The sequence below is a fragment of the Homo sapiens genome, chromosome 10 (genome assembly GCF_000001405.40).
Source record: "Homo sapiens chromosome 10, GRCh38.p14 Primary Assembly".
Lineage (NCBI taxonomy): Eukaryota > Metazoa > Chordata > Mammalia > Primates > Hominidae > Homo > Homo sapiens.
Genome location: NC_000010.11, coordinates 71,814,921 through 71,838,098, shown reverse-complemented (window position 1 = coordinate 71,838,098; position 23,178 = coordinate 71,814,921). Strand labels below are relative to the sequence as shown.

Genomic DNA, 23,178 nt, shown 5'->3' with positions numbered 1-23,178 from the left:
AGTTCTGCCACCTTGTGCCTGGGTGGTTGAGACCCACACATGAGCTTGCCTGTCCTGTCCCTCCCAGAAATCCCTGAAGCTTCCTGCAGTATCGCCCACGGGGTTGAGCCCTCACCTTAGGGTGTGTGGGGCAGGTGAGACCATTCCCCCAAGCACCTGAGATCTGTCTGCCTTTGCAGCCTGGCTGCCGCTACTTCCCTTGGCTTCGCTCCTGAAAAGACAGGACAGTTTCTTCCCTTCCCCACAGAGAACTGGACTCCTTTGGAATGTTCTGGAATTCCCCACTCCCTCTCCACGTAGCCAGCCTTTTCTGTCACCATCTTGCAGGTGCCAATTCCAATTTCGTTTTGAGGAAGGCTCCGTTAGCATTGCCTTGCCGCTCCCATTCCCACCGATGCGTGGGATCACACACCATTACTTAGATGTCTGTTCCTCCTGCTCTTTGGGGTAAAGAAAATCGTGACTGTTCATTTGTTCTTTGGCCTGAGGGCCTCGGGCTCTGCGCAGTCAGTGGAGCTGGTAGCCATGCCTTCAGCTGGGTTGTTTACCTGCTTGTGTGGAGAAAAACCACCCTTGCCTGTAGAGCTTTATGATTAATCCACAGCTGGGACCTGAGAAGTTCCTCAAGTGCTAGGAGAAATGTGTGTGTAATAAAGTTTCTGGGAAAGGGATCCATGTCCCCAAAAGGTTCTGACCCACTGTTTGATCCCCTCTTAGGAGATCTGCTCTGGGAGTGGGCTTTGCACCTCTTGGCGGCTGGGAGCTCCCCAGCACCACCCAGTGGTGCCTGCCCTGAGGACACGCAGTCTATGAACGTATGTCATCATGTCGTTCATCCTGGGAGATGGAATCCGTTGCATACCACAGGCTGTTTTTGTAACATGCACCTTTATGTTTGGCTTGTGGTTGGAGGTAGAAGGGGGTGTCTTGCTAAGAAGGCACTTTCTAGGAGTTGGAATTTACGTGTTACTTCCTGTGTCCACGGAAATCTGTTTTACGCTGGAACTTGACTTTATAGGCGTACCGAATTCTCCACCATGCGTATCTTTTTGCCTCCAGATCTGAGGAAGAGGCCTGCTGCCATTCAGTAGGTCATGGATTGGGAAGTGACAGTCAGTTTGTATTAGCTGGGCCAGTTTCAGATACAAGGGGCTGCCCAAGATTATTTTCAGTCCAGGTTGGCCGGACCAAAACAAGTAACAAAGTCATCATGGAAAACGATTATTGTTTCACATTCCTAGAGGAAGTAGGCAGCCTACAAAGTATTCTCACATGGGCCTGTGAGAGTGTGTTGTGTTCCGGAAACACTCTAGATTTTGGTCAGCTGTAGCTAGTTCCCTGCTGAGAGGGCTGGAGAAAGTAGCTGGGTGGACATTACACTGGATGAGCATTTTTAAGAATCGGGGGTGCTGGTCACTTGCCCCTGCTTTTGGTGGTGACTCCTCTGTCTTGGCTCTGGTCTCCTGAGGTCTGAGCCCATCCTCTTCTGGCTTCCCTGTGTATCACTCTGCCTTCCTCTGCCTAGAGACTCATTTGGTAGCCTCCTGTTCATCTTGATTTGGAGGTAGGGCTAGGCAGTGTATCATGGTGTCATCATGGGTCCTTTTCAGAGTCCTAGGGGCCCAGGGCCTGCTAGGGTGTGGTGGGAGTCATCAGGTCTGGGGTTCCTATTTGTGCTGTCTCTGTGACCGCACAGTCCCCAGAGCCCTTACCCTCATGACTCAATTCTGCCTCCCCTCCACCGCTCCCCTGAGATTTATAACTGAGGCTGGCGCCAGCCATGCTTGGCTACACTGCGGGCTAACTAAGCTTTTGTGAGCCATCTGGGGAGCTTGGTACTGATTTGCATCTGGCACATGTTTTCCCCTGGAAACTAGAGTCCAAACCAGCAGCCTCTGGAATGTGGCCAGCTTGGTTGAGGTTGCGAACTGGACGTGTTTGTGATTTTGCTCCCAGGGGACAGGGAAGGCTATAATCTGGGCAGCAGATGAATAATTCATTTGCTTGTGTCTGAAGGGGTGAAGGTGATCTGACTCGAGCTTTGTGGGACTCAGTCTTTGTGTGAGTAGCTTGTGGAGGTAGTAATGAAAGAAAGCAGTTCATTCCTTACCCTCTCCTGGAGGAAGAACACGTACTGACCTATACAACACGTGTTTCCTATGTGTGTTACACACGTATGTAGAATTGGCTTACAGAGGGAAGCAGCATACAGCAAGATTCCTGAGGTTCTAAGTGTGTTTCTCAGGTGATTGTGTTTTGTTTTTTTTTTTTTTTTTTCTGTCTCAGACTTGGGTCAAGTATCTATTGCAGCAAAAGTTTGTTCAACCCTACTGAGATGCCTGTTGGAGTTTGACCCTCATGCCACCATCCTCTATGTGTAGTCCGATGTAATCTCTTGTTTCCTAGCTAAATAATTGGGCTAGAAGTGAGATGTGAATCTGAGGATTTTTTTCCCCATTTTTTTGGTTCTAAAATCAAGGACCTGTTTTAAGAAACATAGGCACTCTCAAGGCAGTTTATAAAATATTTTTAGGGCTAGGTATGGTAGCTCACCGCTGGAGTGCAGTGGTGAGATCTCGGCTCACTACAACCTCTGCCTCCTGGGCTCAAGCTATCCTCCCACCTCAGTCTCTCGAGTAGCTGGGATCACAGGTGCGTGCTACCATGCCCGGCTAATTTTTTGTAGAGATGAGGTTTTGCCATGTTGCCCAGGCTGGTCTCGAACTCCTGGACTCAACTGACCCCACCTCGGCCTCTCAAAGTGCTGAGATTATAGGCATGAGCCACCGGCAGCTGGCCATTGTTTTATGTTATAAGGGTATGAATTTTTTTTAATTTTAATTTTTATTTTATTTATTTATTTATTTATTTATTTATTTTTTGAAACGGAGTCTCGCTCTGTCACCCAGGCTCACTGCCAGCTCCGCCTCCCGGATTCACGCCATTCTCCTGCCTCAGCCTCCCGAGTAGCTGGAACTACAGGCGCCCGCCACCACACCTGGCTAATTGTTTTTTTTTGTATTTTTAGTAGAGATGGGGTTTCACTGTGTTAGCCAGGATGGTCTTGATCTCCTGACGTCGTGATCCACCCACCTTGGCCTCCCAAAGTGCTGGGATTATAGGCGTGAGCCACCGTGCCCAGCCTGTTTTTCTTTTTTAAAAAAACCCTTCATTCTACAGTTGTTATCCATTTTACAGAAGTCAAAATCTTCCCTGTATTTGAATTTGTTAGTCTTTTCTCCTATGGTTTCTTTTGTTACTTATGGAAACATTTTAAGGTTATGATGATACCTTATTACTTATGGAAACATTTTAAGGTTAAAGTTCTGATACTCCCTGATACTGTTTAAAGGTAGCTAGAGAGGATGAACGTGAACCAGATACATGAGTCCCTTCTAGCCCTGTGACAGACAAGCCAGCTTCTTGACCGGGACAGGCGTGTATCTGTGTGGCTGGTGTCCCATACAGCTTGGTGAGGGGCTGAGTAGCAGAGTCCAGCTCAAGGACAGTCGCCCTCAGCCCTGGGGAAATAAGTCAGGTCGACCTGGTTTGCTACAAAATGGGCCACCTCCTCACGTTGGTTTTCATTTTAGCTCTAGCCGGCCCGGTCCTTGGACTGAAAGAATGCACCAGGGGCTCGGCAGTGTGGTGCCAGAATGTGAAGACGGCGTCCGACTGCGGGGCAGTGAAGCACTGCCTGCAGACCGTTTGGAACAAGCCAACAGTGGTGAGTGCCGCTGCCCTCCAGTCCCAGCCGCAGCACTCCTCTTGGGTCCCCTTAGAACAGCTGTAACTCACTGCCATATTGACAGAGCACTTTTTCTTGCCTTGTTTTGTTTACTTCTCACTGTGACTCTGTGTGGGAGGCAGGACCTATTGGTGAATGTACCCATTTTACAGCAGAGGAGATGGAGGCTCAGAGAGGTTAAGGTTTCACTCTCCTGAGGCTACCTGGTTTCTTGTGGCAGACAGGATGAGGTCCCCCATGCCTGCGGCTCCAGGTGCCTGCCCCATGCTGCCTCTGGGCCTCTGTGCAGATCCCACTTCTCACCTTAGATAAGAGGCCAGTGGGTTGGCAGTGCCCATTCCCACCACTGGGCACATGGGCGCGGCTCTATCCTTGGTCACTCACTCCAAAAAGTAAATGCTGAGCTTTTCAGGTACTTTCTGCCTGTTTCATATTTTGTTCTCTCCTCACTCCTCTCAAACAGGCAAACTGCTGATTGAGATCCTGGAGTGCAGTTGCCATTTAAAATTGGTTTCCAGCTGTAACCACACTGAGGAAGCTAGCACTGATTTTTCATCTAAATAATGCTAAATGTAGCGTATTAATGTGGGGCATGGTCTAAGGCGACAAGCCATGGGTGTGTTCCTCACGGTCCCAAGCCCTCTCAGGAGATGCTCTGCTGACCATGCCAGCTCAACACAGAGCTGCTGCCCTGGGCTCACTTGGGGCTGTGCCGGCCATCATGTGGTACGGGCTGTGTTTGACTGAGTGGACTTTGGGTTCTAAAAAACTTGTCAGTGGCCACTACTGCTCCTTCAGTAAGAGAAGAAAGCTTAGCACCATTCTTTTAGAAACAGTTTGTGAATTATTCACTGGAAAACTGCCTTCTGTGGCCATACTTGCCCTTTTTTTTGGAGGCAGGGTCTGGCTCTGTCACCTAGGCTGGAGTGCAGTGGCACAATCATGGCTCACTGCAGCCTCAACCTCCTAGGCTCAAGCAATCCTCCCACCTCAGCCTCCTGAGTACTGGAACCACAGATGTGGACCAGTATGCCTGGCTAATTTTTGTATTTTTTGTAGAGATAGTGTTTTTACCATGTTGCCCAGGCTGGTCTTGAACTCCTGGGCTAAGGTCATCCTCCTGCCTCCCATAGTGCTGTGATTACAGGCGTGGGCTACCACGACTGGCCTGAAACTACTTTCAGATTTGGTTTCTAATTTGCCTTCAATCTTGTTTTTAATACTACTTCCTGTTTCCAGGTTTAATGTGTGTCCCGTAAGGACTTTAAAACTTGATTGGCTGGTCTTGTCATGGCCCGGCCTTCTGTTTTTGTTTTTTGTTTTTTTTTTTTTTTGAGATGGACTCTCACTCTGTTGCCTAGGCTGGAGTGCAGTGGCACGATCTTGGCTCACTGCAACCTCCGCCTCCCGGGTTCAAGCAATTCTTCTGCCTCAGCCTGCCAAGTAGCTGGGATTATAGGTGTACGCCACCATGCCCGGCTAATTTTTGTATTTTTAGTAGAGATGGGGTTTTCAACATGCTGGTCAGGCTGGTCTCGAACTCCTGACCTCGTGATCTGCCCGCCTCGGCCTCCCAAGTGAGCCACCACGCCCGGCCCGGCCCTCTCTTGATATGGTTCCATGCACAGTACCCTTGACCCTCTGTTTCCACAAATGTTGAGGGCTGTCTGTGGAACTTGAGCATCCTGGGGTTTGGGTGTCCATGGGGGTCCTGGAATTGATACCCCCTCAGATACCAAAGGATGACTGTATTAGCCTGACTAGGTTCAAGTTGGTTTCTCTAAATGCAGCTAAGTTCATAGGTGTTCCTCAGTCTCACCCAGACATGTTTCTTCTCCATGGATGGAAAGTCAGTTGACATCAAGAAGGGAGCCTGGGCATTCTTCCCCAAGGGCCGCAGGAACCAATTAGAATTTCCATGGCCTCTGGTCCAGGTGGGGGCCTTGGTGCCAATCAGAAGATTGGCTTTGGTGTGGTCTTGCCTTGTTAACATGCCTGGGAGGCAGGGGATGCGCAGGTGAACGGTTCAGTGTGGGTGTGCCTTCAGAGGTGGGTGGGGCGTTTGTTTCTCTGTCCCACCCACCTCTCTGCCATACTGATGTGACTCTGATTTCACCTGAGCCTCAGTTTCCTCAGAGGTGTTGTGAGCATTGATGTGAAATTGACCTGTGCCACATGGGGTGCTGTGTGGGTATGAGCAAAGGTTCTGTGTCCTGTAACTCACAGTGTGTTCTGGTGAGTCACACCTCTTCCCTCCCTGCCGTGCCCCAGCGCTGCTCATGCAGGGTGGAGAACCAGGATGTGACAGGAGCGCGGTCATGATCATATCCCTGGTTAGAGAGAATAGCGAAAAGGCCATGGGGAGTTCCAGCTGTGTGGGGTGTGAATTTGTGTCCTGCAAATACAAATTTCTCGTATTCTTTCTCTTAGAAATCCCTTCCCTGCGACATATGCAAAGACGTTGTCACCGCAGCTGGTGATATGCTGAAGGACAATGCCACTGAGGTGAGCGGCGGTGAGTGGGGATGGTGCTTGAGCCACGGGCACGTGCACTGGTTCCTAAGAGAGCTGTGATTCCGGGTGTCTAAAGAGGAATGGTGTAGGCCTGAGGGTGGCAAATGTCTTCCACAAAGGATCAAGGAGAAAAGATTTTAGGGTATATGAGCCGTATACTGTCCCTGTCACACAGTCTCTTTTTAAAAATGTAAAAAGAATGTAAACACCATTCCTTGAGTTCTGGGTTGTACAGAAATAAGCTGAAGGGCCTACTTTGCTGACCCCGGGACTAAATGCCCAAAGTTAATTGAGATGTTGTATTGCATGCCACTAATACCTAGGTCCATTTTGGCCATCTCTGCTTAGAATTCCCTGTGCCTGCGAGACTGCAGGTCCAGGGATTTTCATTTTGAATGCTCATGTCTGCTTTTGCCTGATTGACCTAATAGAGCCATAGGTAACATGGCCAAGTCCTTTTCCCTGAGGGCTGGCTGTTTTCCAGGCTTGGTTTTTCTGGGAGCTATTGAGGGCCTCTTGCCTTCAGCCCATTTATTTCCAGGGAGGAAAGCCTATCGTGATTCTGACCCTGGTGTCCTCTCGTAGGAGGAGATCCTTGTTTACTTGGAGAAGACCTGTGACTGGCTTCCGAAACCGAACATGTCTGCTTCATGCAAGGAGATAGTGGACTCCTACCTCCCTGTCATCCTGGACATCATTAAAGGAGAAATGGTAAGTGATGGGGAATAGGCTTTTCCTTGAAGGTGCTTCTGGGGCCCAGGAGAGGCAGTGGCCCAGAGTAGATTGATTAAAATGGAAAGTCTGTTCTTAGCTCTGGAATTCCTCAACAGCATTTTGCTACAATTTGACATCCAGAATAGCTCCTTTGGCACAGCAGGCCACTCTGTATGTAACTTGCCCTGGGGTTAGCGAGGGTGCGGCTGCTGGGGACTGGTCGGACTGCTGAAGGAATGTAAACCGGCATAACCTTCAGAGATGTGAGTTGGATACATCATGTCCAATCTTTAACTGACCCCTTTGAGCAGGCACAAAACCTCACTTCTGTGAATTTATTTCTGTGAACTTATAATCAAGGAATAATTCAGGGAATGTATTGGGGTCTTTCATTCATCAAGTATGTATTGTACACAGACACAAACCCTGTGTCACAGACTGGGTTTTTAGCAAAGAACACGGAGCTAGCTTTGTGGAATTTGGAAAGGCCTTGACAAAGAAGAGGTGTTTAAGTAACTGAAGAGGGCCAGTGGGGCAGGACTTTCCCAAGACAGGACCAAGGTTCTGGTGAGGAAGGCAGGGGTTGTGTCATACACAGCCTCCTAGGCCATCTTCAAGGATTGCAAGTGCAGCCTTGGAGTGTCATGATTGTAAGGGCATTTGTCAAAGGGTTTGGTCTAGGTCTAGGTCCCATTGAGGGAAGCTGCAAGTCCGGAAGCTGACAGGACCCTCAGGAGGTCATTGCTTTGTGAGTGAGATGTGATGTGGACAGTGGAAATGGCAGATGCAGATTCTCTTTTGGAGGATTAAATGGACTGGACTTGCTCATGAGGGGGATGTATAGGAGAGGAAGAGCTATAAATGTCTCCCTGGTTTCTGAGAAGATAAAGGTGGAGTTATTTGCTAAAATGGAGCTAGTTGGGCAGGATAGAATGAGGGGTAAGTTTGAGATGTCTGCAGGGTGGGCATGATTACAGAAGTTAAACACTTGGGAGCCATCAGCATATGGAAGGTGTTGAAAGCCATCGTGTTAGCTCATTTTGTGGGGAAGTGACTTAGAATTGCTGACTCTTCTCCTCCAGCAAGAAGCTCCTATTCCTTTATTTATTTATTTATTTATTTTTTTGAGACTGAGTCTCACTCTGTCGCCCAGCCTGGAGTGCAATGGCGCGATCTTGACTGACAGCACCTCTGCCTTCCGGGTTCAAGTGATTCTCCCATCTCAGCCTCCCAAGTAGCTGGGATCACAGGCACCCACCATCATGCCCGGCTAATTTTTGTATTTTTGTAGAGATGGGGTTTTACCACATTGGCCAGGGTGGTCTTGAACTCCTGACCTCAGGCGATCCGCCCGCCTCGGCCTCACAAAGTGCTGGGATTACAGGTGTGAGCCACTGCGCCTGGCCTCCTGTTCCTTTAAAGAAGAGCTGAGGGGAAAGAGGTAACATTTAGGAAGCCTGTATTAGTCCGTTTTCATGCTACTAATAAAGACATACCCGAGACTGGGTAATTTATAAAAAAAGAAAAAAAGGTTTAATGGACTCACAGTTCCACGTGGCTGGGGGGGCCTCAAAATCATGGTGGAAGGTGAAGGAGGAGCAAAGCCACATCTTACATGGCAGCAGGCAAGAGAGCATGTGCAGGGGAACTGCCCTTTATAAAACCATCAGATCATGAGACTTACTATCACTAAACAGCATGGGAAAACCCGCCCCCGTGATTCAGTTACCTCCCACTAGGTCCCTCACATGACACGTGGGGACTATGGCAGCTACAGTTCAAGATGAGATTTGGGTGGGGACACAGCCAAACTGCATCATTGCCTAATAGGAGAATTGAGGAAGCTTAGGGGCCACTGTGTGGTTAGGCACTCGGATTGGGTAATTTTGTCATTCTTGGTATGCTGAGCAGTTTGAATTTAGACAACAGGTTTGTGTTTCTTTTAAGGGATTTAAAGAGAGGGACTAATTCAGAGGCACTAGATGGCCTGTCTTATTTTCCCCTGGGGAGAGGATTTTCAGCAGGACTTCTTTCCATCCCACCAGAGCCGTCCTGGGGAGGTGTGCTCTGCTCTCAACCTCTGCGAGTCTCTCCAGAAGCACCTAGCAGAGCTGAATCACCAGAAGCAGCTGGAGTCCAATAAGATCCCAGAGCTGGACATGACTGAGGTGGTGGCCCCCTTCATGGCCAACATCCCTCTCCTCCTCTACCCTCAGGACGGCCCCCGCAGCAAGCCCCAGCCAAAGGTAAGACAACGGGCTGGCCACTGAGGACCCATTTTTGGTTGCACTGGAGATGAGAGACCAAAGGGACAGAGAGGGCACGTGTGGTTCTTAAACTGGGGCTTATCCCTGTGCGTGACTCTGCAGTCACATGAGCCAGCCTTTAAATGGTTGTACCATGAAGTTTCTAAAGAATGGGATATTTAAAATATGCAAAGATTAATCCCCTTTAAAAAAATTTACTTCTTTTATTTTTGAGACAGGGTCTCGTTCTGTCACCCAAGCTGGAGTGCAGTGGTGTGATCATGGTTCACTGCAGCCTCAACCTCTGAGGCTTAAGTGATCCTCCCACCTTAGCCTCCTAAGTAGCTGGGAGTACAAATGCACACCACCACACCTGGCTAATTTTTGTATTTTTTGTTTTGCCATGTTGCTCAGACTGGTCTCAAACTCCTGGGTTCAAGCGATCTGCCTGCCTCGGCTTCCCAAAGTGCTGGGATTACAGGTGTGAGCCACTGTGCCTGGCCAACCTTTTTATTTATACTAAACCCCCTTTTTATACCATACTGTTACTATAATGAACACTTAATCGATTTTAAGCCTATCAGTAATTTGAGAGCCTGTAAAGCATCTTAGGAACTGGTCAGCAAGTGCCCCCTAATGCTGCAGCCCTGAGTATATAAGGACGTTTTCCTAGGAATTTGAGTCCTCTTAAGTTGCAAACCTAACTGCCTCTTCTGTAGGATAATGGGGACGTTTGCCAGGACTGCATTCAGATGGTGACTGACATCCAGACTGCTGTACGGACCAACTCCACCTTTGTCCAGGCCTTGGTGGAACATGTCAAGGAGGAGTGTGACCGCCTGGGCCCTGGCATGGCCGACATAGTGAGCCTTGTGTCCTTGTGCATTGGGGATGTTCTGGGCCTGGGAGTTGGGCTGTGGAGGCTGGAGTAGGGCGTTCAGACAACATCCTTCTCTTTTTTCCCAGAAAGCAGCTTGAATAGGTAGTGCAGACTTGAATCTATTTTGGTTAATGGCATCTGGATATGTAACAAAACTGGGAACAAAAAGTAGGAGACTGTTTCTGGGAAGATTTTGTTTCCTGCCAGGCACCCTGTGTATTAGGAACACTGTAGAAATACTTTTTGCCCCCATTTTTTTTTTTTTTTTTTGAGACTGAGTGTTGCTCTGTTGCCCAGGCTGGAGTGCAGTGGCGTGATCTCAGCTCACTGCAACCTCTACCTCATGGGTTCCAGGGATTCTCCTGCCTTAGCCTCCCGAGTAGCTGGGATTACAGGTGTGTGCAATCACGCCCAGCTAATTTTTGTATTTTTAGTAGAGATGGGGTTTCACCGTGTTTGTCAGGCTGGTCTCAAACTCCTGATCTCAAGTGATCTGCCCGCTTCAGCCTCCCAAAGTGCTAGGATTACAGGCGTGAGTCTCTGCGCCCGGCCTTTACCCCATTTTTTTCTTTTCTTTTCTTTTTTTTTTTTCTTTTTTGAGACGGAGTCTCGCTCTGTCGCCCAGGCTGAAATGCAGTGGCGCGATCTCGGCTCACTGCAAGCTCCGCCTCCCGGGTTCACGCCATTCTCCTGCCTCAGCCTCCTGAGTAGCTGGGACTACAAGTGCCCGCCACCATGCCCGGCTAATTATTTTTGTATTTTTTAGTGGAGACGGGGTTTCACTGTGTTAGCCAGGATGGTCTCGATCTCCTGACCTCATGATCCGCCTGCCTCGGCCTCCCAAAGTGCTGGGATTACAGGCGTGAGCCACCGCGCCCGGCCATTTACCCCATTTTTGAAAGCTTGGCTAATGTATGTGACACTGAGAATTCCAGCTGTGCTCCTGCAGCAAGCATGGTCGCTGACCATGGTTCACCTGGAAGCCTCCCTTAGTCCTGTGGGCTCAGAAACTCATTTTCTTGGCCCCTTACTTAGATCGTTTCATTCTGGGACCCTATTCCAAGATTATTAATCACACTCAGGTGGATGTGTAAAACCAAAATGCCATTTTTAGTACCTGACAACTGAAGAAACCTGCTAGACTGGCAGCTGAGAAGCTGGTTGTAATTACTCTGTCCTTTGGGATCTAGCGAGGCTTTTTGGGTGGAGTGGCCGGCTCTAGGAGATGAGGCCTTCTCCATTTTTTTTTTTTTCTTGAGACAGGGTTTAGCTCTGTCACCCAGGCTGGAGTGCGGTGGCACAATCATAGCTCACTGCAGCCTTTACCTCCTGGGCTCAAACAATCCTCTTCTCAGCCTCCCAAGTAGCTGGGATTACAGGAGTGAGCCACCACGCCCAGCTGAGGGTTTCTCTCTGACTTTCCGTTAGGAATGTTAATCAGGTGAACATTCATTCATTTTGAAAGCCTAGGAATCCTGTAGCCTCATTTTAAGTGTCTTTGCATAACACCATTTAAACAGGTTTCCCAGTTGAACCCTCTCTGAGAGGCTGTATCATGTTACCTTTGGTCCTCTCTCTGTAGAAGCTCCCCAAATACAAGGAGCAATTCTGTGGAGTCTACTGGAAGTATCTAGATTGTCTGAAAATAAGCAGTTAAAAATCATTATAACTTGACTCTACTGGATTTAAGCTTTATAATGCCATCTGAGATTGTGTAAATGGCTTTGAAAGGTAAGCTCCAGTTCCTAAGCAGTGTATCTCCTAGCTGCCTTCTCTCCAAATTGCCACTGAATAGTTGCTGTGTGATCCTGGGGCACGTGAGGTTATAAGATAAAGGAGACAGGAGGGTGGAATCTTTAAGGTCCCTTAAGAAACATTTTCAAAACGTCTTTTGCACACATTTCCTATAAATGATAGAGTAACCAAATTGTCATTTTCATCTTATTAAAGCTGGCCCAGAGCAGACATTCATAAAATTCTACTTTAGAAACTTGCTTGATAGTCACCAGTTGACACTGTTGGAAATGCTGGGGGGTTTTTGTTGGTTGGGTTTTGGTGCATTGTTGCAGTGATTTGTTTAGCAATCTGTTTCTCTCTCCTCAGTGCAAGAACTATATCAGCCAGTATTCTGAAATTGCTATCCAGATGATGATGCACATGGTAGGTGGCACGGAGGCCCCTTGTTAGCATTTTTCTTTGTTTTTCAGGTTTCGTCATTTCTAGGAATTTTGAAAATTATATGGTTTAGTTTCCCTTTTTTACCTTAGAGTGCTGAATTGGGCTAAATCGACCCCTCTGGCTAGGAGACTCTCCACTTGCAATCTCAGTACCTCCCCTGTTACGGGAGAGGCAGGCTGAAGCATCTTGATCCCAGGACTGCCCTGGTGGCTTCCTGGCAATTTGTTTGCCTCTGCCCGTTCAGGCCAGCCATCAGGTTTCTAGGTCTGGCTTTAACCCTGGGATCTGTAGAAGTCAAGTGCTCTCTAACTAAGCCAGGCCTGAGAATGGCTGTGTTGCCACCTGAGTCGGGGGAATACTGCCTCCCGGAGTTTGTCCCGTGCATGGCAGCAGCGTCCGCTGAAGCTGCTGCTTGAGCTGGTAACTCCTGAGCTGGCTTTGGATGCATTCAGGTGGCAGGGGGCATTCCTTCATTAGAATCAAGAATACCCATTCAGGAAATGAGCTCGCTAGTCCACGCAGAGCAGGGCGGCCTGCTCACGTTGGGAACGGGCACTGCCTCCTTAGATCTGATTGGCAGGGCTGAGTGGGTGGGGGGCACCTTTTCCCTGTCTGTCATGCTTTCTGACTACTTGAGATTGACATACCAGCGTTTGAGTTTGTTCTCTGATCCAGGGGTCAGCAAACTGGCCCATCATGTTTTGTACTTAAAGGGTATTTTTTTGGAACACAGCGACGCCTGTTTTGTGCTACAGCAGCACAGTTGAGTAGTTGCAGCCAGATCTTATGGCCAAGGAGCCTGAAAGATTGACTCTCTGACCTGCTGTAACCACTCAAGCAAGCTGAGGAGGAGTAGTTTATTTGGGATTATTACTCACACCCTACCATGTTCTAAAAACAGTTAAAAGGCAGCTTACAGAGACATGCACCTGAAGTAGGTAAAGATAAGCATTGACGGGATTTAATCTCGTGAAGTACTTCCTCATAGCTAACTTAAAATATTTTTCTCATTATAAAAGTTATACTGTGTAGAAATGTGTTGAAAATATGGACAATACTTCCCACACAAAAATCATTTGGAGTTTCAGAATATATCAACGGGTTCATATATACTACCTTGTACTTTGTAGTTTGCATTTTTTGCCTAAAAATATGTTGGCCATTGAATATTCTTGTACAAATGACTAAATGCTTGCAGAATAATCACCTGTGTACATAGAAGAGAATTTACATAATTGGTCCCCGGTGGCCGGATGTATCTAGGTTGTTTTCAGGTTTGCCTTTGGGAAGATGAATATCCTTATAGCCAAATGCATACATATATGCATATCCCTGCCTTTCCCCTTATTATAGAGAACTAAAGCTGGAACTGCTGAATGGAAGCATGAGGCTTTGGATACATTGTTAAATTGGCCTTCCAGGCTGCCATTTGGCCACCTGCAGTAGATTGCCCTAGGATCCCTTACCCCTCAGGGATCCCTTACCCCCCTTACTTGGGCAGCCCTGTGTCTTGTTCTGTGGTGCTGCTGGTCACTAACCTGTGGGAAAGCCTTGTGGGCCCGGGGCCAGTGTGGGCTCCTGAGTATGGAGACCCTTCATCAAGCATTTTCTGGGGCTCTTGCTACACAGTGTTTTGAGTGTGATTTAGTGTGTAAGACCTGGAGATGGTGCACACAGAGCAGGACAGCCCCCAAATGGTCTATCCCTGCAGGGCCAGGAAAGCTTTCAGGGCCCCCTTGTCCGCAAGATAGCAGGAACAAGGTAGGTTGCTAAGATCTGATTGCAAGAGCATTTCCCCTGAACCTCTTGGGACATCCTTACACCTGGTTAACTGCTTGATTGTTGTTTTAATTTTTCTTAACTGTTGTGTCCTTTCCTTTCTCTTATTTTCACCTCCGATTTCCTGTTTTTTTGTTCAACAGCAGGATCAGGTATGTGTCGGGGAATCTGCTTGCAGTAGTGGTCTGCTGCTTCCTCTAGTTACTTTGCTTTTTTTTTTTTTGGGTATGGCATGATTAGCTCTGACAGATACAAGGAATGGTTACGAGAGGCAGGCTCCCTCTCTGTTAATAGGCTGGGGAGGGCTTCTGCATCTCTCCCCTGTAATTCAGCCCTTGAGGTTTTGGGGGTCTCATCTCCCCTTCGGGGTCCAGTAAAATGAAGCCAGCAGAGCCTTGTGCTCTGGTCACAGTCCACATACAGCATACGTACATGCAGGCCACCAGTGTGACAATGGGGAACCATGGGTGGCCCAGGAGGTGCCTCAGCCTCCTTCAACGTAGGCCAGTTAGGAAGTCCAGTGTAGGTCTGGCTTCCCCAGGGCACCTTGTGTCTGTCACAACGCAAGTAGGCATTGCATGTCTTTAGTGCTGTTTTTCATAAACACAGAAATGCTTCTGCTGCATGAGCAAACATTTGCAGACAGCCAGCAGACTGTTCCTGGCTGTTGGATCCAGAGAATTGGAAACAATCTCTTGATTGTGGCTTCTGCCCCTCTGGGTAACAGGGTCCTTTGGGATCTAGAGCCACATCAGATGGCATGCTACAAGAACCAAATGCCCAGTCCATACTTGCTCTGAGCCAGTGTCCTTCGGGGCCGTCCTGAACACTGCCACCTCTGAGCGTTGGCATCCATCTGCTAGGATTAGCATTGGAGCTTTTTTTGAAGGTATTTTGAAGTCTAATGGGAGAGGACTTTGGTTGAAATACCTGAATTTTTACCTAGGCCTCCTCAAGGAGTTGGAACAAAGCTGATCGAGGCAGAAGCAGCCCTATACCTCCTGAATATTGGCGTCTTTTTTTTTTTTCTAAAAAGCTTGCTGTATCTTCAGCTGCGTTCTTATTATTTATTTATTTATTTATTTATTTTTCATTCTTAAGGTGTGGCAGAGACAGGGTATTTGGGATATACTTTTCAGACTCCCCCGGTCTTATTAATTCTCGAACCTTCTTGATATTAAAACAAGATGAGCCATAGTCATGGTCTAGCTCTTTTCCCTTAACAGGTCCTGTTTTTAGCACTTTTGTTCCTGCTGCTTTAGGGTTTGGTGCTGGAAGGCAAATGCACTCAGGCTCAGAGCTAGTTGCTGGTTGCATTTATTTCCACAATATACAGAGTCTATACACTTGTCTCACTCTTGGCCATCAGAGTGTCATGGTCAGGATGTCTAGACTATCTAGTGCTCTGTGTTTGGTGTCTAAATGGTGAAAGGGGATCAATCTGGAGACCTTGTGGCTTAAAATGATTCATCCATTTGGCGGGTTGGGTTTTCATGTGCACTGTGTGCAGCTTGAACATAGAATGTGGTTTTTTAAAAAGCCAGCATTTCCCCTTAATGCATCATTTTAAATGGTCCTGCCGCTGAAAAATCTGGTGTGGTTTTATTTCTAACACATTTGGCTTTCTGTTAGTTTATGGGCATGGTAGTTCCCCCTCTAGAAAAAAGCATAGCTTAGTTCCTACCTAGAGTGACCTGAAAAGACACATTCTAGAACAGACCAGGTGTCCTTGGAGATGTGGAAGGTGCTGGGGAGTCTCCCTCGTGGTGGCCCTGGATGGAGACTCTGTTTGATGTTCCTTAGGAGCTTTGTGTGGTCTCCTCCCCGAGATGTAACTGGCACATATGCACTGCTTCAGACACGAGCCCTTTAACATGGAAACTGGAATCTGCCCCGTTGTGGGAGGGGGAGAGGGAGGTAGCCTTGACCTGGGCCCAGGGTGCTGTCCAGCTCCCTGTCCTCTGGCTGGATTGGGACTGAGGAGCAGTGGGCGTAGGCTTGCTGCTGACTGGTTGTTCTGTGCTCTCTTCAGCAACCCAAGGAGATCTGTGCGCTGGTTGGGTTCTGTGATGAGGTGAAAGAGATGCCCATGCAGACTCTGGTCCCCGCCAAAGTGGCCTCCAAGAATGTCATCCCTGCCCTGGAACTGGTGGAGCCCATTAAGGTACCTGGTGTCACTTTGTGTCCTGGTCAGGGCTGTGCAATGCCACACTACTCCCTGCTGTGTCACATCACATCTTACGAGTCACTTGTTTCTTTCGGTTCCCTGCCTGGCTCCTAAAGGTCTTTGAGTTTGTGATCACTGGTTTATCCTATCCCCTATACTAATGCAGCCCCCGACCCTGAGTTCTTTTGAAAACATTTTATTTCCTTGGTTGTAAACCCTAATGTTCGTGGGATCATTAGCCTGTGTATTTTCAGCATGCCATTCAAAGGTGACTTTGCAGTGCCTGGCTTCAGCCTCACCTTCTCACATGCACTGTCTGGGTCCTTCCCCATCCTGTGGCCCTGACAGACTGGATGTTCCCAGCACACCCCTCAGAGTGTACGGAAGCCTCACTGGGCCTGCAGCCTGTATACTAAGTACATGTGGGTGTCTATTTTATTTAACTAAAACACCTCACTTGGTGAAGATTAGACTACTTCATCCCATAATAAATTTGTATTTGGCATTTATTATGGGTCAGGCAGCATGTTAGGGGCTGTGGTGAACAGATGATGTCATTGTGCCCGTGGGGCTTACATTCTAGTTCTTCAAGGCCTGGGCTGTGTGATGCCTTAACACGTGGCACATGTACACGCTTCTTGTTCTAGAACATCCCACGGCACTTGACTGCCAGCTGTTGGTCTCTCTCTGCTGTCTCCTCTCTGCATGTGCAGAGTGTGTGACCCAGGGGCCAGGCCGAAGTGTCAGCTGGAATCCAGGAAGCACTGCTTCTTGCCTTCCTCTCCACCGGGTGCTCCTCAGCTCCAGCCTGCTGACCAAAGTGACGGCCAGAGAAAGTGAAGAGTTATAGCTCGCACTCCAACCACATGTGACTACTTAAATTTTAATGAAATACCATGGAGCAAAATTAAAAATTCAGCCCCTTGGCTACACCAGCCACATTGCAGGTGCTCAGTGCACAGGTAGCTGGAGCTTATAGTGGACAGCAGAGATAGAGAACATTTCCATTGCCACAGAACATCCTCTGTAACAGTATTGCCTTATTAAAGGTGGGTTCCAGAAGAGCATTCTCAAGTGCTAATGAGACATGGGAGACACACGAGCAGACCTGAAGTGTGTTCAACATTCTGTCTTCTAGATAGTGGACCGATAGTGAGCCCCTCACTTTGCTTTTGGTCCTTCATCCTCCTCCCCAAAATGAACCCTGAATGATGAAATGATTGTAACCGAACACATCATCAGGACAGCTCTTCGGGGTGGGGAAGGGACTTTCTGTCTCCTGAACTGTGAATTCCTGGGTTTTGTTTTGGTGGGGTTAGGGGGAGGTGGGGGTGGTAGAGGATTGGGGAAGGGGGTGAATGTAAAAATAGGGAATTAACTTGGATATTAGAAGCCACACGCCATTTGGAATTCAGGAGGCAGTGGCCCTTGATGTGCTAACCCACCCTGGTCTCTGTGTCCCCTTTCCTTTAGGGGAGCAAGACCAAGGGCTGTGAGTCCCAGCATTGAAAGTACTCTCCTTCTACTCTTTCCACAGAAGCACGAGGTCCCAGCAAAGTCTGATGTTTACTGTGAGGTGTGTGAATTCCTGGTGAAGGAGGTGACCAAGCTGATTGACAACAACAAGACTGAGGTATGCTGTCCTCCTGGCAGAGGGAGGGCCTCTCCTGCCCCCCCGAGCCTGAATGTCCCAGTGGGAAAGTCCCACAGGAGAGAGGGCTTGGCCCAGCCTTGACATGTGTACAGCCATGTCCCCATCTCGTGGAAGGCAATCCTCACCAGTGGGACCTCTAGGCTGGCGGGGGTCCGGGGAGGTGGACACCATTGCCCTGCTTTGTAGTTTGGTAGTTTTTTGTGGGTGGAAACGGCACCCACCATTGACTCATTTCCTGGCCATGTTAGTATTTTCAGAATGTCCCCCAACCCTTGTCCGGCCTCCCGTCTTCTCACACGATCCTCTCGTGTGTTTCAGAAAGAAATACTCGACGCTTTTGACAAAATGTGCTCGAAGCTGCCGAAGTCCCTGTCGGAAGAGTGCCAGGAGGTGGTGGACACGTACGGCAGCTCCATCCTGTCCATCCTGCTGGAGGAGGTCAGCCCTGAGCTGGTGTGCAGCATGCTGCACCTCTGCTCTGGCACGCGGCTGCCTGCACTGACCGGTGAGCGCTGGGTGTGGTGCGGGAGAGGATGGTGCCCCTCTTGGGTCTGGGAGGGCCCTGCCAGCGTTGAGCCCGCTGCCCTCTTATGTAGTTCACGTGACTCAGCCAAAGGACGGTGGCTTCTGCGAAGTGTGCAAGAAGCTGGTGGGTTATTTGGATCGCAACCTGGAGAAAAACAGCACCAAGCAGGAGATCCTGGCTGCTCTTGAGAAAGGCTGCAGCTTCCTGCCAGACCCTTACCAGAAGCAGGTACGCCCCGGGCTGGGCTGCGGTAGGCCAGCATGGCAGAACCTGATGAAGTATGCCAAGGCTGGGGTACATTTTGATGGAAAACCAGCTGTTTCTGCCTCCGGGCATGGAGTCCAATGAAGTTTTACTTGGAGGTGATTTGTTGGCTTAAGATGAGCCACTGGGGGAAGCAACCTGAAGTAGAGAGGCCAAATGTAGATAGGGTGTCTGGAAAGGGAGGCCCCAGGACCCAGTGGGCTGGGAATGCCAGGAGCTCTCAGGGAACAGTGTATCCAGGGCCTGCCTGGCCTTTTGTGCCCCACTATGCTCGGACACCCCCAGAGCTGGACCTGTGTCCCCACTTTCCTTTATAGTGTGATCAGTTTGTGGCAGAGTACGAGCCCGTGCTGATCGAGATCCTGGTGGAGGTGATGGATCCTTCCTTCGTGTGCTTGGTGAGCCTCACTGGGTGGTGTGGTCCTCTCGGGCAGCTGTAACCTGGGGGGCTGCAGAGACCCGGAAGGGTTGCTCTGAGACTTGGCCGTGGGGTGGAGTCTCTGGGTTCTGCTGCGGGAGAGCCAAGAAGGTAGGGAGCCAGCCCCCCAAGCCCCATCGCTTTCCTCAGCAACCCTGATGTTCTGAAAGAGCGTGGTGGAGCTGTGATCCTAGCTCCTTCTGGAAACTGTTTTCTTAGTTTTGAAAGCGATACATCGGGCAGCTCTCATTCTCCCCCTTTCTTCTTTCCTTTTCTCACCATATAGAAAATTGGAGCCTGCCCCTCGGCCCATAAGCCCTTGTTGGGAACTGAGAAGTGTATATGGGGCCCAAGCTACTGGTGCCAGAACACAGAGACAGCAGCCCAGTGCAATGTGAGTAGCTCAGCAGACAGTGTCACCAGCCTGTCTTGCCCTGGGGTAGCCTGTGTGAGAATCCTGCTTTAATGGGAACCCAGTGATCAACTCTCCACCCTGCTTTTATGTTATCAGAAAGCTGAGGCCCAGAGAGGTGGTTAGGCTTACTCATGGTCCCCTAGAAAAGACAGGGTGAACTACACTCTTGTAGTGAAGGGTGGGGTGGATTTTATTTATTTATTTTTTTTAGTATTTTTTTGCTTCTGCTTTGTTGCTTTTGTCTTCATTTCCCTTGTGACAGTGTCAGACTTGTACAAGGTCACTCCAGGGATTGTACAAGGTCTGTGGGATTCATTGCCCAGAGCTTTGCCCAGGTCCTGTCCCCCGGGAACATGTTTGCCCTTGCTGAAGCCGGGCCCGAGTCCTCACTCAAGGCCCTGAGAACTGGCCCCTGCCCAGCAGCCCTAGGGCACTGTGGCCCTGGCCTGGCCTGGCAGCCACCAGTTGGGTGACTTGTGCTGCTTCCCTGGGTGGGGATGTTTGGTTCGGTCCCTGTTACTTAATGTTGCTTTGTGCAACTTTTCCTTCCTCACCGGGCTTCCCTGTGACCATGTCAGTGGCGGTTGTGTCATTTCGGACCACTGCAGGGAGGGGCAGGGGGCCCCCATTCTGGCCATGTCCAGCTCTTTCCTCCAGCTAGGCTCCAGCCCATCTCCACCGCCAGCCCCACCCCACAGCTGGTTCTGCTGCTGTCCTGGGGAAATGTGGGCCTGCTTCTCAAGGCCCGAGCTGGTGTGTAGCCTAACTCAGGCAAGGAGGTTCTGCCTGGGAGTTAGTGTGCAGGCTGCTAGCAGGACGCTGGGTGCCGGGTGCAGGTAGATGAAGGGTCCTGAGCCCTGCCTGCGTGGGTACTCATCTGCAAACTGCTGCAGGCATCTGCTGCTCTGGACTCGTGCCTTAGAAGTTCCCAAAACTCTGATGGCCACGTGTTCCCTGTTTTTAAGTGAGATCCTGTCCTGGGTCTTCAGCATCTGGTGCCATCCAGCTGACCTAGGACAAGAGAACAGGTCCTGTTTTGGGGTGATATCTGATACATTGATGGGCCGGGAACGGAGTTTTTCATCCGAAGACTAAACTCAGCTTCCTCTCTCCTACCAGGCTGTCGAGCATTGCAAACGCCATGTGTGGAACTAGGAGGAGGAATATTCCATCTTGGCAGAAACCACAGCATTGGTTTTTTTCTACTTGTGTGTCTGGGGGAATGAACGCACAGATCTGTTTGACTTTGTTATAAAAATAGGGCTCCCCCACCTCCCCCATTTCTGTGTCCTTTATTGTAGCATTGCTGTCTGCAAGGGAGCCCCTAGCCCCTGGCAGACATAGCTGCTTCAGTGCCCCTTTTCTCTCTGCTAGATGGATGTTGATGCACTGGAGGTCTTTTAGCCTGCCCTTGCATGGCGCCTGCTGGAGGAGGAGAGAGCTCTGCTGGCATGAGCCACAGTTTCTTGACTGGAGGCCATCAACCCTCTTGGTTGAGGCCTTGTTCTGAGCCCTGACATGTGCTTGGGCACTGGTGGGCCTGGGCTTCTGAGGTGGCCTCCTGCCCTGATCAGGGACCCTCCCCGCTTTCCTGGGCCTCTCAGTTGAACAAAGCAGCAAAACAAAGGCAGTTTTATATGAAAGATTAGAAGCCTGGAATAATCAGGCTTTTTAAATGATGTAATTCCCACTGTAATAGCATAGGGATTTTGGAAGCAGCTGCTGGTGGCTTGGGACATCAGTGGGGCCAAGGGTTCTCTGTCCCTGGTTCAACTGTGATTTGGCTTTCCCGTGTCTTTCCTGGTGATGCCTTGTTTGGGGTTCTGTGGGTTTGGGTGGGAAGAGGGCCATCTGCCTGAATGTAACCTGCTAGCTCTCCGAAGGCCCTGCGGGCCTGGCTTGTGTGAGCGTGTGGACAGTGGTGGCCGCGCTGTGCCTGCTCGTGTTGCCTACATGTCCCTGGCTGTTGAGGCGCTGCTTCAGCCTGCACCCCTCCCTTGTCTCATAGATGCTCCTTTTGACCTTTTCAAATAAATATGGATGGCGAGCTCCTAGGCCTCTGGCTTCCTGGTAGAGGGCGGCATGCCGAAGGGTCTGCTGGGTGTGGATTGGATGCTGGGGTGTGGGGGTTGGAAGCTGTCTGTGGCCCACTTGGGCACCCACGCTTCTGTCCACTTCTGGTTGCCAGGAGACAGCAAGCAAAGCCAGCAGGACATGAAGTTGCTATTAAATGGACTTCGTGATTTTTGTTTTGCACTAAAGTTTCTGTGATTTAACAATAAAATTCTGTTAGCCAGATCTGGGCCTAATGTTTCTGTGACCCTTCAGCTGGAAGAGTTTGTTCCTCTCTGATGAGCTCTGAGCCCATGACACCTTTGGGGCCCAGCACTCCCATGACCCATCTTGGCCAGAGAATGAAAGCAAAGTGGATAAAGGAAGATCCCACCTCATCCTCCCCAAGACTCAGGGCCAGCAGTAGGTCAGGCGCACCTGAAGGTCGGCTCTGCTCTTCACCTGCCCCTGTCCCTGCTCCCTAGAGGCCAGAGTCAGAGCACGTTGCCAGTTCCTTGAGAGTTGCCTTGATTTTTAAACAAACCATTCCAGAAACTTGTAGTGAGTACCAGTTAAACAAAACCAAGGGGAAACTATTGAGGGAATAACTTAATTTAAAAAAGGAACACACACAAACACTCCACATTCAAAACCGGAGGGAACATCAGTCACTTCTGTTTATAAGCTGGGCACACATTTGGGAAGCCAGTGAAATGGAGAGAATGCTTGTTCATTGACATTGACTTTCTTGTCCACGTGGGGATGCCACCTCCACCTGGACGTCCAGCAGAGAGGGATGTGGCGGAAATGTAGCGAGACTTGGACTGGAGTCGGGTGTCCGGCCAGCAGGGGATGTCCGCGCTGGGCCTCCCTTGCGCCTGCTTAGCCGGAGGGGATGGTGCTTGCGGGGTGGAGCTGGGAGGGAGGAGGGCCTGTTTGGCCTCTTTCAGCTCAGCCTGAGCCAAGCTGGTCCCCAGACTCTTGGGCCCCAGTGACCCTCCTTACCTTGTCCTTAGATGCTTAACATTTTTGTTTGGTTTTCTTATAAAAATAACAGATCTTATGAAGGTAGAGGTCAGATGCTGAATGAGCGTCTGGCAAAAGTGGGATCTGAGCAGCTGATGCGGGCTGCCAGGGCCAAGCCAAGGTTGTCCCCAAGGCCTGGCCTTGGAGGGTCCCCCCCGACCGGCCCTGTCCCTGCCCTTGCTCCCTGGGAGGGGACGGTGGATGGGTGCTGCTCACACCCACAAGGCTTCCCTGTCTAGTCACAGCTCTGTGATCTCCAGGGGGGTCTCCATGATCACGTCGCGAAGTTTGTGCAGGGGTGTGGATTTGGCGGATTCTGTGCGGGCGTTGCGCTCGAAGGCAGTGGCCTCGGCAGCGGTCAGCGTCTCCAGCGAGCGGCCCAGGCCCTTCTGGTCTTCCTCGGGCAGGCTGTTGAGGTCGGTGGCCAGCAGCGTGCCCGTGCTGCCGTGCACCACATGGATCCCATCGGGCCCCTTGAGCTCCACTGGTGGCTTGTGGCGGAAGCGCAGGCTACCCTGCCCTGGGCTGTGGTCTCCTGGCTCCTCGTCCAGCTCAGTCTGTATCAGCTGCAAGAGGCCGGGACCCCCACATGCTCAG

General features: G+C 49.9%; 2 protein-coding genes across 8 annotated transcripts in view, besides 5 other annotated features; one reads left to right on the top strand and one right to left on the bottom strand.

Moving 5' to 3' along the window:
• PSAP (prosaposin) overlaps positions 1-21,801 on the top strand; it is a 34,954-nt gene extending 13,153 nt beyond the window's left edge. Inside the window, exons 2-15 of one of the 3 annotated variants that reach the window (NM_001042466.3) lie at positions 3,594-3,727; positions 6,179-6,253; positions 6,848-6,973; positions 9,022-9,222; positions 9,942-10,085; positions 12,206-12,262; positions 14,206-14,211; positions 16,092-16,223; positions 17,764-17,859; positions 18,199-18,385; positions 18,477-18,634; positions 18,988-19,068; positions 19,375-19,482; positions 20,623-21,801. In NM_001042466.3, the coding sequence (NP_001035931.1) occupies positions 3,594-3,727; positions 6,179-6,253; positions 6,848-6,973; positions 9,022-9,222; positions 9,942-10,085; positions 12,206-12,262; positions 14,206-14,211; positions 16,092-16,223; positions 17,764-17,859; positions 18,199-18,385; positions 18,477-18,634; positions 18,988-19,068; positions 19,375-19,482; positions 20,623-20,658 (1,541 nt within the window). In that variant the 3' untranslated portion in view covers positions 20,659-21,801. Of the gene's footprint in view, positions 1-3,593; positions 3,728-6,178; positions 6,254-6,847; positions 6,974-9,021; positions 9,223-9,941; positions 10,086-12,205; positions 12,263-14,202; positions 14,212-16,091; positions 16,224-17,763; positions 17,860-18,198; positions 18,386-18,476; positions 18,635-18,987; positions 19,069-19,374; positions 19,483-20,622 lie in introns of all 3 variants that reach the window. The other 2 variants (NM_001042465.3, NM_002778.4) reach the window with 2 other exon arrangements.
• Positions 684-1,453: an enhancer, noted in NCBI's record as "H3K27ac-H3K4me1 hESC enhancer chr10:73596403-73597172 (GRCh37/hg19 assembly coordinates)". NCBI's record gives its function as "activates a minimal SCP1, AML or CMV promoter by ChIP-STARR-seq in primed H9 embryonic stem cells {active_cell/tissue: H9 hESC(primed)}" and the evidence as "EXISTENCE:reporter gene assay evidence [ECO:0000049][PMID:30033119]".
• Positions 684-1,456: a biological region, named in NCBI's record as "H3K27ac-H3K4me1 hESC enhancer GRCh37_chr10:73596403-73597172".
• Positions 1,357-1,456: an enhancer, noted in NCBI's record as "active region_3522". NCBI's record gives its function as "activates an Ori minimal core promoter by ATAC-STARR-seq in GM12878 lymphoblastoid cells {active_cell/tissue: GM12878}" and the evidence as "EXISTENCE:reporter gene assay evidence [ECO:0000049][PMID:35858748]".
• Positions 1,454-2,223: an enhancer, noted in NCBI's record as "H3K27ac hESC enhancer chr10:73595633-73596402 (GRCh37/hg19 assembly coordinates)". NCBI's record gives its function as "activates a minimal SCP1, AML or CMV promoter by ChIP-STARR-seq in naive H9 embryonic stem cells {active_cell/tissue: H9 hESC(naive)}" and the evidence as "EXISTENCE:reporter gene assay evidence [ECO:0000049][PMID:30033119]".
• Positions 1,567-1,636: an enhancer, noted in NCBI's record as "active region_3521". NCBI's record gives its function as "activates an Ori minimal core promoter by ATAC-STARR-seq in GM12878 lymphoblastoid cells {active_cell/tissue: GM12878}" and the evidence as "EXISTENCE:reporter gene assay evidence [ECO:0000049][PMID:35858748]".
• Positions 22,152-23,178, bottom strand: part of CDH23 (cadherin related 23) — a 419,028-nt gene continuing 418,001 nt past the window's right edge. For all 5 annotated transcript variants that reach the window (NM_022124.6, NM_001171933.1, NM_001171934.1 and 2 more), the window contains one exon: positions 22,152-23,147. In NM_022124.6, coding sequence (NP_071407.4) covers positions 22,821-23,147 — 327 coding nt within the window. In that variant the 3' untranslated portion in view covers positions 22,152-22,820. The remainder of the gene's footprint in view (positions 23,148-23,178) is intronic.